Here is a 14,297-nt window from a genome sequence, read left to right as displayed (position 1 = left end):
CTCTGCCTCCTGGGCTCAATTGATCCTCCTACTTCAGCCTCCTGAGTAGCTGGGGCTACAGACGTGTGCCACTGGCTAATTTTTGTATTTTTTATAAAGATGAGGTTTGCCATGTTGCCCAGGCTGGTCTCCAACACCTGGCTCAAGTGTCTGCCTACCTTGGCCTCCCAAAGTGCTAGGATTACAGACATGAACCACCGCACCTGGCCAATAATTACTTCTGAAGATTCTGACAATACCATTTACAATAACACAAAAATGAAGGACCTAAGAATACATCTAACACATCTAGAGAGAATATTATAATATTGTTGTGAGACATTAACAGTGACATAAATAAATGAGAGTTATACCTTGTTTATGGATTGGAAAGTCAGTGTTGGAATGATATCAATCCTCCCTAACCCTCTCCCTCCCGCCCCTGCCCCAAAAAGATCGACAGATTTAGTGCAGTCCCACTCCAAATCCAATAGTTTTCTCAGGAGAATTTGACATAGTTGATCTCTCTTTCTTGAGACGTTTTATTCTCTGTTTTCCCTCCTACCTCACTGGTACTCCTTATCAATATCCTTTGCTACCACCTCTTCTACGCAACCTCTAAAATGTGGCATATTTCATGGCTCAGCCTTAGACCTTTTTCTATCTGTACTTCCCCCTTACATTGTTCTTTCTAGTCCCCTGACTCTAAATACCACATCTATATGATGATTGGCAAATTTGTATCTCTAGTCTAGGATTCTTCATATATCCATTGCTTTTTCAAGAGTTACTCTTAAATGTCAAATAGGAATCTTAAAATTTCCAATATGAAACATTTGCTTCTTGCTACCCCGTTCCCCTCCTCCACCAACTTGCTGTCTCAATTCTGTCAATGGAATATTTATTGCTTTGACCCAAAATCTACGTGTTCCCCCCGCCTTCTCTTTCTCACATTCCCTACATCTAATCAATAAGAAACTTTGTTGACACTTCCTACAAAACATCTTCCAAATGTGACCACTCTCAATAGCTCCACTGTTACCATGTTAGTCCAGGCTGCCGCTGCCTCTCACCTAGACTCCTAACTGGTCTCTTTGCTTCTACTGTTGTCTCTCTACAGCCCGGGGAATCTGTCTCCAACTAAGCCTGGTGGCAGTGAGGACCGTCAGCCCCCTCCCAGCCAGCTGTCGGCTATACCTCCATTCTGTCTGGTTCTCAGGGCTGGAATCGCTGGGCAGGTCTAGCTAATCCTTGGCCCTCCTAGGAAAATATTCCTAAATCCTGAAGGCATTTAGCTAGGAAAGATCCAGAATGGACCCAACTATTCCTGTTTTACCCCAAACCGGTTGGTCTGCTTTGGGGATTACTTCTCAGGCTAGGAACCTCTGAGTGTTCTGAAACGGGCCTGAACTCTTACAGAAGCTCTTGTGGCCCTAGGATGAATTTAGAGGTCTCCATACCCAGCCTGGAAGGTGAAGAACTACCCCTAACGACCCACCCTCCCAACCTAATGCCGGTTCTGCTCCACTTGTCCACTCTGGGGAGCTGTGCTTTGGCTTGGAAGCTCTCGGATTGAAGGATGGGCCCAAGACCCTCACAGGTGAAGCCTCGGTAGGTCCCAGGGAGAAGAAAGATATTCCTCCACCCCACCACCCCTCTAAGTCCGACCCACCTTTCTCCCCGCCAGCTGCATCAGATCCCTCCAGGGGCTCATTGTCAGTCCTGTAATCTTTTCGTCCGTGATAGGATGGGCCGTGGGCCCTTGTGAGTGAAGCTCGGCGGTTCCCGAGTCCATGTGGGGTGGCCCCTGCGGAGCCTGGAGCCTTCTTGCCCGCTGGCTTGCTGATCCCGCTGAGCCAGCTCCCTTCCTGCTTTTGACGGTGAGGGAACCAGCTGGGAGGTCCTCCGAGCTGGACGGGGAGGCGGGCGGCCTCTCCCACTCCCCACCCGCTCCCTCCCTGCCGCCGCCGCCTCCGGCTGCTCTTGCGACAAGCCAAGAAGCTGGGGCGCCTGCTGGGAGCCCAGCGCCGTCCTCCCGTTTCCTGTGATCTACCAGTCCTCCTCTCCGCGGAGGCTTGGCCGGGCGCACCTGAGGCCGGCAGCATCCCCGTGGCTTGGCGGCAGCTGCAACCTCCACAGACGGCCGCCAGGTGGCGCCACGCCGGGGCCCGAGAGCAGGCGGGCCCGGGGCGGGGTTGGAGGGACTCAGCTACGCGCCTGGGGAGGCCGCGGGCCCTCGCAGACTACCGAACTTCCATTCTGCCGCCGGGTTTTCACACCTGCCGGCCCCGAGGAAACAATGACGTTGGGATTTTGGGGGGCCGCCCCTTGACTCGGGCGAATGGGACACGAACGGCGACCCCTTGCTCTCTTCCATCCGCCTGCCGCCGTTGCTGCCCACCGACTCCTACAGCTCATTTCTCGCTCCTGCAGGCTCCAGGAATGCAAATAATTTCTCACTGGGTTTTGGCGGGGGCGCGGAGCTGCGGAGAAGCGCGCGCCCGACAGCTTTCGCCGCAGCTGGGTCCCCGGGCGCTGGCGGCTGCGGCCCCCAGATACGGGCGGAGGCTGCAATATGCACATGCGGCCACAGTGTGGCTCCAGGGGCCCGCCGCGGGACACGCTCGGAGCGCGACGCCCCATCCCATCATTTACGGATCAAACCAAATAATCTAGAATCAAGTTGCTGTGTGTGTCATACTCCTCCTGTTTTTTTTCCCTAAACTTTTAGTAGAGTCATTTACATAGTTCAGTTTTTACCTCAGCTATGTTACACAGTGGCAGGAAAATATTTTGTCTCCAAACTACAGCCCAAGTATGAGAGCAGCGTATCCTGAAGCTAATTAGTAACCAGAAAATCAGGAAGGTAAAGCAAATCTCTGGAGGCAAGATCTGGACTCTATGATATCGCCGCTTCTCCCCACTTGAAGCGTCTCTTTGCAGTGCCGCACTTGGAGATTTGGACTTAATCGTTAAACAAAAAGAACAGTTACATTCTGCCTTCCTACAGGGCAGGGGCCTAGGACTGGCAACATTTTTGTTGTCTCTAGAAATAGAGGGGTTATGAGAGAGCCTCAAAAGAGAGGGCAAGAATAACACATCCATTTCTCATCATGAGTTACCCCCTTGTATGCCTAGAACGCGTATGGAGACATTCTCTTTTAGTAAAGTCAAAGAGAAAAGCCATGAACTAAGTATCCTGAACACAGAGGCGTGAGCCCTCTCAGTCTCACAGTCCCTTAGGAGTCATTTGTAAGTACTATTTCCTTCCTTATTGTCTATACTATTCCCTCTTGTCTCCCTGAAATCTACCCACTCCTGGCTGTGTGTGTGTCTCTTTCTGTCTGTTTCTCTGTCTTAATCTTCTGTACATATGCACCCACTCACCTTTTTACCTTGTTCTGAGAAATAAAATACTATTTTTCAAACTATGTAATAGGATTATCAGGCTAGGCTTGACTTGTAAGTTTTTCAAGAATTCTTTAGAGTAGGCCTCATTTCAAGTCATCTTTGATGACCACATTTCCAAATGTATCCCAGTTGAAGTCAGTTCATTTATTTGCTTTAAGAGTTATATACCATGAGACACACAGTTCTGGTGTTGTTGAACTTTTGGATGTTTGTACGCAGTGCTCACGGGGAGCAAGTGGGCAGGGGACGGTCCAGATCGATGGCCACCAACTGAGCCGCTGCTACGTGGCCCCCTGGGGCTCCTTCCGGTGCACCCCTTCCTGCAGCTGTTCTTCTTTTTGTTCCTGACATTTCAGCTCTTCTTCTAAATGTCTGTCTTCTTGAAGGCTGGAAATTACCTTCTTCTCATGACCAGAATCCAAAGAGATTTCTAAATTCCACTTTTTCTTTCTTTTCAGTTCTTTACGTATTGTCACCCAGAGAACAGTGTTCACTAAAAACATTATTCCCACTGCCAGATAGAAAAGGACATGAAACCAGACAGGAGTTGGTAACTGGAGGCCTGAAACAGAAAAAGACAAAGAGAAGAGATACTATTTAGAGACCAGAGGGGTCTGGCTGAGTTATGTTTGGAAGGGAAGGTTGGCTGAGACCTGATGTGCCTGTCCTTAGGGAGGCACTGGTCATTTCAGGGAGCAGGAAGGAACTGGCGGTAGCTCTAACTGGCTATATGGTGTATAGACAGGGACAGGCTCCTTGGAAGAGCTTAATTGCTGGGCCCTGTCAGTGGACTTACTCCCTAGTTCCAGAGACAACTGATATCTCTGTGCCATTTAATACTTGAAATGAATTTGGGTTGAAGATGAACTTTTTTCCCCCCCAAGGAGACTTTGTTCTAGAGCTCACAATCCCTCTGCCTCAGTTAAACAGAGATACTTGGGGAGGTGGTGATTTGCAGTTTACAAAATCACTGTCTGATAAATCCACCTTGTGAGCTCCTTGAAGCAAGAACTATACTCAAATGTCTTTATATCCCCAGACGTATGACAACAGATAGGAAGAACTTGATAAATTGTTGGTGAGATTGTTGGTGAGGAGGAGGGAGGCAGGGAAGCAGGGAGAGAGAGAGAGAGAGAAGGAGGGGTCATGGAGTGGAGGGAAGAGTGGGAGGGAGGGGAAAATAAAATGAAGGAGAAGAAAAGAAGGACAGAGGAGAAAATGAAGGAAAGAAATGGAGGAAGGAAAGAAATAGAGGAAGGAAAGGCAAAGGAAAAAGAAAAAGAAAGGAAAGGAAATTTAACAGTTTGCGAGGAGAAGAGTGATGTTGTGAATCAAGGATGGAAAGGCCTGCTTGTGGGCTTTTCCTGAAGAGACTTTCCCCTCTTGTCTGGGCCAAAAACCCTTGAACAAACCTCAGTCCCATGGGAGATAAGGGAGTCCCTTCTTCTGTGCCAGTGGCTTCCCGTCATTCTCACCAAGCACTTGAAGCTCCAACTCAGGGCTGTGCTTAAGGACATTTCCATCCTCTGTGGCAGCCTCGCACCAGTATAACCCAGAGTCTTCTCTTCTAGCAGTTAGTATTTGGTATTCAGAGGATGTGTTCCTGCCTCGCAGGGTCTTGCTGCCCATGTAGAAGGAGAAGTAAAGCTACAAACCAGGCCTCTGCAAGAGCAACTTTGTTTCACAGCTCAGGGTGACCAGATTCCCCTCCAGGAGTGGGGATGTCACAGATGCATTCAGCACTGGAGCTGGAAATAGCTCTAAGGAGAAAGTTGATGGGGGACAGGGTTGCCTGTTTAGCATCCAGGTCCTTTTCACAAAAGACATGCCCTTTACCCCCTTGGGAAACCTGGCCCTAGAAAATGAATCCATAAGGCATTAACCCTTTTTACTTCCAGCAGAGAGCCATTCTTGGGGTGTCCTAATAGACATAATTAGGGTTGCCAGCTTGCTGAGTCCTACTGAGGATACCTCTATACCAGTGGTCCCCAACCTTTTTGGCACTAGGGATGGATTTTGTGGAAGGCAACTTTTCCACAGCCGGGGGGTGAAGTGGGGACGGTTTTGGAAGGTAACTGTTCCACCTCAGATCATCAGGCACGCACAATTCACAGTAGGATTCATGTTTCTATGAGAATCTAATGTCACCACTGATTGGACAGGAGGAGGAGCTCAGGCCGTAATGCTGGCTCATGAAGAAGCTCACCTCCTGCTGTGCAGCCCAGTTCCTAACAGGCCACGGACCAGTAAGGGTTGGGAACCCCTGCCCTACATGGTCCATCCTTCCCTGAATGACCGTGTCATCTGGTCAATAACCATGCCCTTTTGGCAGTGGTCAACTAGGAGTGAACCCTGACTCACACACTTGCCATTTCAGTGACTTTATTATCATTATTATTATTATTATTTGAGACGTAGTCTCGCTCTGTTGCCCAGGCTGGAGTGCAGTGGCGCTATCTCGGCTCACTGCAAGCTCCGCTTCCCGGGTTCATGCTATTCTCCTGCCTCAGCCTCCCGAGTAGCTGGGACTACAGGTGCCCGCCACATTTCAGTGACTCATTATTTTTGTTCCTGACTTTAAAAGATAATCTGGGACAATAATTTCTTTCCCACAGGAGTGAACTTTTTTTTTCTCAGACAGAGAAAGGTTGCTAGTGATTGTATTAAGAGGAAAGGCCGTGAAAGGGTCAGAACAAGGCCATATGCAAACTGCTTAGCCTGCAGATGCTCAGGAAGAAGTGGCACCACAGAGGCTGCTTTGTCCCTGAGAGGTAGATGGACAGTATAGCCCGTTCCTCATGTTTTCCAGGTTTCTCTTTCTATGGGGCTTCCATGAGATTCCATGGTATTATTTTCTAACTCTCCTATCTACCTAGAGTGAGTCTGTATTCTTTACAACTAAAATAATGATGGATGAAATGGATCACCATTATGCCCTGACATTGACATTAGCTCCTGTGATTATTGATGGGGGTTGCGGTACACTGGAAAGAGTATTGGACTAGGACCCAGAGACCTCAGTTCTGGTTCCAGCTACTGGTCATGGTGTGGCCTTTAGTAATGCAGTTTACCTCTCTGGAGCCCAGTTTCTTCACTTGTAAATTAAAGTGAGGAGTTTAGAATATTTATGATGGTCCCTCAGGGGGAGGGACTATCAGTTCTATGACTATTCCAATACAATACCTTTCACAGTGTATTGTGATATTCCTGCTGATGTGTAGCGATGCTTTCCCATGCCTGAGCAATGGTAGGTGCCATTGTGACTTATGTTGGTTTTCAGAATGGTGAGGTTAGAATTCCAGTGGAAAAACTTAAAGGCTTTGCCATTTCGATAGTAAAGCACATTGTACACCAGCTTATCCTTCCACGCATGACACCTCAAGGCCAGAGGTTCTCCTTCCATGAAGACTCTGCTGGAGACCTGCAGTAGTAGCCAGCCTGAAAAATATGAACCCAAAATGTATGTATACAGTGGAGGAGGTACAAGGAGGCCCAAGCTTGGCCCTGTGGGCTTCCTATTTTTTCTCCTTGCAACATCCAGCCTCAGAGCTCTGCTAAATCTCAGGCCTATATCCGGTTCCTCAAATATCTTTAGCTTTGGTGGAAAGAAAAGCAATCTTTACTGGCAACTGCATACACAGCCCTTTCTTATCTTCCCTTTCCAGATCTCAGAAGTTGGTTGAAACAAAAACAGTTCATACAGCATGGTAGGCAGAATTCTAAAATGATCCCAATGACTCACTCCCTTGCATAATCCCCTTGAGTGTGGGTGGAACCTATGACTTGCTTCTAGCCAACAGAATATGACAAGGGTGATGAAATGTCACTCTTGGGATTGCTACATTATGTAAGACTCTATCTTAGCAGTCTGGATGGAAAGTCTCCTCCTGAACTTGAAGAGGTAAGCTGCCACGCCAGGAGAGGGCCTGCAAGAGTGCCACAAGGCAAGGGCCTCTAGGAGCTGAGAGTGGCCCCCCACTGATGGGCAGCAAGAAAGCAGGAACCTCAGTCCTACAACCACAAAGAACTGAATTCTGCCAGTGACCTTGTGAGCCTGGAAGAGCTGCAAAAAGAAACACAGCAAAGTCAACACCCTAACTGCAGCCTTGGAAGACTCTCAGCAGAGCACTCAGCTAAGCTGTGATGGGAGTCCTGACCCATGGAAACTGGAAGATCTTAAATGTATGTTGTTGCTAAATTTGTTACACAGCAATAGAAAACAAATACACTCCAACTCTTGACAAATTTGTTAATAGGACCACGCATCCTGAGACAAACACACAGAAGGGCAAACATCCAGATATAAACATCCTACTACATTGATATGAATACTCACATATGTAAGATCAATGATATCACTAGCAAAACAAGCTCCAAGTCAATGGGTTTTTCCTTTCGACAAACACCTCTACACATAACCAAAAATGCTTCAACTACTTTTCTTTTCTCCAGAGGCAGTTGGTTTGGCTAAGTAAAAATGGGGTTCTTAGGAGACTAAGGCGGAAAAGAGACAATAGTGCCTTTTTCCCCTCCAGAACTTATCTAAGAATGGAAGACAGGTGTTTCTATGCTATACATAGCATGAATTTTACAGTCATGGATACTGATATAATGCTTCCAAATAGAATTAATTCTCTTCCCTCCCTTATTCCCACCCACAGCCAGCAGATGCTGAAAGACTGCACTGCCCAAACACTGCCATCTTTGCTTTATATATCCAAAAGAGTGGGAAATGCTGTCACATCTCCATCAGAAACTGTCAAACACTAGTAATGGTAGAAAATATCTGAATGACACAATTAATAGGCTTGATTTTGTGGATGCTCTACTTTAGAAAGAAAATTCATATGCTTTTCAAACACACATGCAATATTAGAAAAATTAAGTGTGAACTAGACCACAAAGCAATTTTCAACAAATACTAATGAACTGATACCATGTTTAACACAAATTCTAACCAAAGTGCTATAACATTAGAAATCAATAACAAAAAACTACCCTCCAAAAAACATCTAAGTAATTCATGAATAAAATAATGTATAATGGAAATTTATGAGTTTTTAAACTTAAGTGGTAATGGTAGTATTATATATCAAAACTCAAGAGATGCAGCTTTTAGCAGACATTACTAATTTCCTACTCAACAATCATTCCCCTACCTTCATGACTTTGGTGTCAGCCATATGATTAGGGCTCGGGTCCACCAACCAGCTGCATTTTCTTGGTCTTAGCATATACTGATTAAATTGAAATGACTAAGAGTCAGTGAGCTGCAATTGAATTCCCCATGGCTGACTGTGGCGAAACATTTTAAAATAGGGCATAGACAGCACCAACCAAAAATGTTGGTGTATTGTACTGTAGTAAAATTAACAAGTCTTGTTCATTGAAAACAAACAAAACTTTAATATTATAGTGAAAAGAAAAGCCACAGAGTGGGAGAAGATATTTAAGACTCTTGAAAAAGGACTTATATCCAGAATATATAAATAACTCCTATAAGTCAGTAAGAAAAAGACAGACAATAGAAAAATTATCAAAAAGACCTTACAAAAAAGGATACCCAAATAGGTAATAAATGTGAAAAATGGTCAATATCATAGTCATTAGGGAAATGCTTAATTTGCATTTGTATATCCAAAAGAGTGGGAAATTGTAACATACCTCCATCAGATACTGTTGAACATTAGTAATGGTAGAAAATATTTGAAACATGTAAACAAAAATATCCACAGCATTACTATTTGTAAGTGGTCAAAACCAGAAGCAACCCGAGCCCCTCAGCAGAATGGGAAAATATGAAATATACAGTAATAAGAACAAATGAACTTCAATTTACAACATGTATACAGTTCACAATCATAATGTTGAGAAAAATAAACCAGACACAAAAGAGTACATCCTGTCCCATACCGTAGCCCTTTATATGAAGTTCAAAAACAGGCAAAAAACCTATGGTGCTGGAAGTCAGTGTCAGGGGTGGACTAGAAATGGGCAAGAAGGAGTTTCTGAGGTGCTGGAAATGTCTAAAATAGATCTGGATGCTGTTTACTTTGAAAAAATTTACTGTGGCGTACATTTATGGCTTATTGTACATAAGTTATATTTCAATGAAAATTCACATTAAAATGTAATGTAAAAAAGATATGATTCTCAGTAAGTCACTGATGCTGAGTGTCCTAGAGTCTGTGTAGAGGTAAAGAAAATGGACTCTTCCCAGCCCTAGTCCTTTTGTTGTCACTTGAACCATGAAACACTTCTGCTTGAATTACCCAAAGTGTCTTGTTGAAACAGCTCTGTCAGAGGTTGCAGTGAGCCAAGATCGCACCACTGCATTCCAGCCTGGGCAACAGAGTGAGACTCTGTCTCAAAAAAAAGGAAACAGCTCTGTCAGCTTCCCTAACCTCTCCATCCTAAGAACTTATTTACAGAGACCTAAGGGACACATGAGGAACATCAAGCCTTCCCTCAGACATTCTCAACATTTCCTTGGCTAAAACACATTTCCTCTAACAGCAACCATGTCTGCATAAAGGCAATTTTGCCTCCAGTGTGGATTAACTTTTGCATTATCATTTTTAAAGAAGTTTAAACTCATCACTTCTGAATAACTAAATAATACATTTGGTTATTTTGTCTTGCATATTGAATGAAGCATTTTTCCCTGAAGAATATTGCAGTCTCCGTCTCTTGATGAATAGAAACTCCTTACAGGTTTAAGTGGGTGGTGGGCTTTTCTGCTTCCATTTATTAAAATATGACAATAATTCCATGTCCAGAATATTATCTTACAGATACCCTATGAAATGTGCCCCCGGAATGTATGTATAAAGATAATTATTGCAGCAATGCTTGTAAAATCAAAAGAGTGGAAACATCTTACAAATTTGCCAATAGGCAGAATGGTTAAATTAATTCTGGTACAGCTGTGCAGCAGACATTTTAAAGTGGATTTCTATTAATATAAACAGAACTTCAAGGTATTTTAAGTGATAAAAGTAAGATATAGGACAATACTTAGAAAGTGTTCTACCACCCACAGCTTTAAAACTATATATATGTGTGTGTATATATATATAGTTTATATATAATAATGCTAATATATACATATATATGCATAATATGTATATATATATTAGCAGTTTTGTTTCTGTGGAAGGTGACTGCAGATCTAGGGTTTTGGGTGGGAGGAAGATATTTCATTATTCATTATTGCTCATTTGTTTGAATTATTATTATTTACTATGTACAGGCATACATTTGGAATAATGATACAATCTTAGGGCCGAAGTCTTACTCTAGACATCCTACTTAGAGCTGGCCCAGCTGAGGTACTGTTGGTACACAGTTTAAGGACCCTGCTGTGATGTTTTGAGTATACTGATTTAGTTTCACCTGGTAGGTACATAGTGCTGAGACCTGCACCCAGATAAATCGACACACACACACATCTGGCATCCAGAAAGGAGAGAACGCAGAGGAAGACCTTGTAGTTTCCGGCCCTCCTGGTCCAAGTCATAATTACCTCTGTGGATTTCCAGCTGTATGGGGTCACTTCGCCCTGAGAGACCTCTCTGGCACCTGTATTCACCACTGTCATTGACACTGGCAGAGGTGATTCTGTAGCTGGGGGTCGAGGTCTGAGTGGCTGTGCCATTGAGAAACCACTGTGTGGAGCTGCTCCCAGGCAGATGGAGCACCTCACAGTGCAAGGTTATGGTTTCCTCTTGGAACACGCTGACCCATGGAGGCTGCAAAGTGATCACTGCCTTTGTGGTGTCTACTTGGAGATTACAAGAAGAAAAAGAAAAAGATCAAGTGGAGTAAAGGGGAGGGCTCTGAGCAACTGGTGAGGCTTTTGTGGATAGCACAAGGGAAAAATACATATTTAGATTTATTTGAAAAATAGGCAAGTGGAAACCTACAAAAGCCAGCCTTTAAGAGTGTCCTCCTGCTGCAGAGACCTCTGTTCATTGTTATTAAATCCTCATCTGGGTGTTGGGAATCTGGGGCTCCTGAGGATTAAATTACTGATGTAGGTTTTTCTGTTGGGAGCAATGAAGCAGGGTTTTAGACTTGGGCAAGCCAAGCGGAGCTGTTTTCCTTATCCTCTGAGCTATACTGTCTCTGAGAGTACGTTGCAGGGCTTCAGCAGCTTGTACATTGGAAACGGAGGTTCAAACTCCTCTCTTTGAAGCCTTCAGTATTTGCCTGGCTCTTTCTGAGGAGAAAAAACCCACTCTGCTTTCTTGTAAAGGGGACTGGTTTAGGGGATGTTGGGAAACCCAGCAGACTACTTCAGTGTCAGCAGACTACTTTAGTGTTTGTGCAATTCTGGCCCTTTCCTGCTGTTATATATACATTCAGGCATTTCGCTCAGAGGAAAGAGCTCATTCAGAAAACTTTAGAAAGAAAGCCTACAAATCATAGTTTTTATGAAAATCATGCTCTGAATATGGGAGATTTTACATAATTTATAAATCTTTCTTCTTTCTCTGCTTTCTCTATATGCTCTTCTGCAGGTTAATAGGACCCATCCTTTGGAAGTAGGAAAGTGGCATAGAAGGAGAAGCTGAGTTAGAGATCACTCACCCACTTGCCCATCAACTGGAACTGCAAGAGATCAGAGAATAAAGATATCAGTTGGTCCAAGGAAAATAATGAGGAAGAGAGAATTGGGGAGACAGAATTAATGTAGACTCTGAGGGATCAACTCAGATCTCTTGAGTTTCTATTTCTCTTTCTCAAAATCCAGTACTAACAGAACTGAACAAGCTACAGGTGGTTATCAAGGAAACTTCACTGCGGTGTGTCCAGGCTTAATGCTACCTCAGGGTTGCCCTTCCCATCCTTTTCATAAAATAAGCTCTAATAAACAGTGGAAGCACAGATACAAGTTGCTTCATACTCATGAGTTCTACCCAGAGTTACCACAGGAAGACAAAACTCTTGACTCACAACAGCCACAGCCTGTACCCTTCTAACTGTCCCCTCTGAGTCCAACTTACCCCAAAGGAGCAGAGTTGTCAAGAACCACATGTTGTCTCCAAGCTGGTGGGAGTAGTGAAATCTGTAACATGCAAGATATTGAAGAGGTTCTGCTGGTGGCTCCAGAGCCAAATTAGAAAAGAGGAAGGAAATTGCCTTTTCTGACCATTTTCATCATGTTCCTTTTCTGGGAAATACATCTCAAATTCTTGAAACATGCTTTTCCCATGCTCATACCTGTTAGCCCATCTCTCCCAGTTTGAATCTCTGATTTTCAGGTTATGAACTCTCAGAATCCAGGGAAAAGGCTAAAGTTGTATTGACATTCTATTCTATTTTTACCCTCTACCGTTTCTGTTTCTTAGGGTTAGAATATGGCAAAACCTCACTCTTTATAATTGGTTCAATGCCTGGCTAATGCCTCCAAACAATCATTTGAATCCAGAAGTTTCTATATCAGCCTCTATGAGGCCATGGGAAAAGTTACTCATCTACAAGAGCTGCCCTAATACAAACCAGCCTCTGCTCCTCTAGGGGACACAGACAGGATCAATCTCCCATTTTGGTTAAAAAAGAAAACAAACTCTCTTCCTGAAAGACATCATGAATTTGGAGTGTTTATTTTGGCTAAATCCAAGGTAATTAATTGTTTAATGTGGATGCTATGGAGAAGAAAAATAACTCATGCACATGGATAGCAATATCTTCAAGAAAAGAGTTTCAGAGTACAAGTGGGGAGCTCTGTGCCACCAAACTGAGGTGGCTCCTGAGACAGAGTTGTAACCCCATAAAAAGATTTTTAGGTATTGTGGTAAGAGAGAAAGAGAGCTAAATGGAAACTAGGATGAATTCAATGAGTGCAGAGAGACTTTGGCAATCTTACTAGCAGAGAATGAAAAATGATGACAAATCATGCTGTAGATTGGTGTACTGGCCCCAGTTTCTCACCGCTCCCTGAATCTACACTCTCTCCACAGCCTCATGAGGGTACATCTCTGACTCTTGACTGTGGCTCATCATGAGACTTTCATTGGCCAGCGAAATGTGAATGGAAATGACATGGTGCTAATTTCAAACTTAGCACTTAGGAAGCTTCACACATTATCTCTCACCCTCTTGTTCTCCTGTGATTGCTGAGACAAGAACATTTTTTAGCTAGTCAGCCACCGTGTGAAACAGAGCTGTCCTAGACATTGTGGCTTGAGGCAGACCTGCCTCACCTGCCCTGCAAACTTGTAAGTGAGAACTAAATGCTTACCTTTATATGCTACTGAGATTTGAAGATTGCTATACAAGCAAGAGCTGACTGACACAAATGAAAAGCAAGGAAGAAAGGCCGGGAAGAACTCAGGGTGTTCTGAAGAGATGAGAGAAGCCTCAGCTTGTTAAAATTTATATTCAAAGCCTATATCTGTAACTATTTTACTATTTTGTCTCCAAAGTTTTCTACTGTATGCATGTACCATAATTTATTTCACCAACTTCTCTTCATGAACATGTAGGTTATTTCTAATTTTTTACTGTGTGACCAGTAAAAAAGACTGCTTACTACCAAAATAGTCTTGTGACTACCTTTAAACATTTGACTTATTTTTTCCTTAGGACACATTCCTAGAATCAGTAGTGCTTACTCAAAGGAAATGCGCATTTTTTCCTTTGGATAAGATGCTATCAGATTGTCTATGATCATTATCCTCATCACTGCATAAATTTTAGAGTGCTTATTACAAGCCAGACAAATATGCTTGATACATGTTTTCTTATTTAAGCCTCACAATAATCCATGAGTAGACACTAGTATCTCCATTTTACAAATGATAAACCTAGTGAAAGAGGAAATCAGTAATTTGTCCAAGGTTGTGAAAAATAGAAGCAGGATTCAAAATCAGACAGTTTGATTTCCTTTACATACTCACTGA

The 14,297-nt window shown here is 43.7% G+C and overlaps 1 long non-coding RNA gene and 2 pseudogenes across 6 annotated transcripts in view, besides 1 other annotated feature; 2 read left to right on the top strand and 1 right to left on the bottom strand.

Annotated features, from left to right (window-relative positions):
- H3P4 (H3 histone pseudogene 4) overlaps window positions 1-14,297 on the top strand; it is a 58,864-nt pseudogene that overhangs the window by 18,803 nt on the left and 25,764 nt on the right. The window lies entirely within an intron of this gene.
- On the top strand, window positions 1,559-9,535 carry LOC100996318 (uncharacterized). Its single transcript, NR_158169.1, has 2 exons — window positions 1,559-3,231; window positions 7,056-9,535. It is a non-coding gene; the product is annotated as an uncharacterized LOC100996318 (long non-coding RNA).
- Window positions 1,990-2,249: a silencer, noted in NCBI's record as "silent region_1254". NCBI's record gives its function as "represses an Ori minimal core promoter by ATAC-STARR-seq in GM12878 lymphoblastoid cells {active_cell/tissue: GM12878}" and the evidence as "EXISTENCE:reporter gene assay evidence [ECO:0000049][PMID:35858748]".
- Window positions 2,663-12,479, bottom strand: FCGR1BP (Fc gamma receptor Ib, pseudogene; annotated as a pseudogene). 4 transcript variants are annotated; one of them, NR_045213.2, is made up of 6 exons: window positions 12,399-12,479; window positions 11,983-12,003; window positions 10,916-11,170; window positions 6,574-6,828; window positions 4,866-5,150; window positions 2,663-3,952 (listed from the first exon to the last, which is right to left on the bottom strand). The product of NR_045213.2 is annotated as an Fc gamma receptor Ib, pseudogene, transcript variant 4 (transcript). The 4 variants fall into 4 exon arrangements; NR_164759.1 differs by lacking the exon at window positions 4,866-5,150; NR_164760.1 differs by lacking the exon at window positions 2,663-3,952 and having other exon boundaries at window positions 4,182-5,150.

This window comes from Homo sapiens, chromosome 1, assembly GCF_000001405.40.
Source record: "Homo sapiens chromosome 1, GRCh38.p14 Primary Assembly".
Classification (NCBI taxonomy): domain Eukaryota; kingdom Metazoa; phylum Chordata; class Mammalia; order Primates; family Hominidae; genus Homo; species Homo sapiens.
The sequence above is the reverse complement of the archived record's forward strand: the minus strand, read 5'-3'. Positions and strand labels throughout refer to the sequence as shown.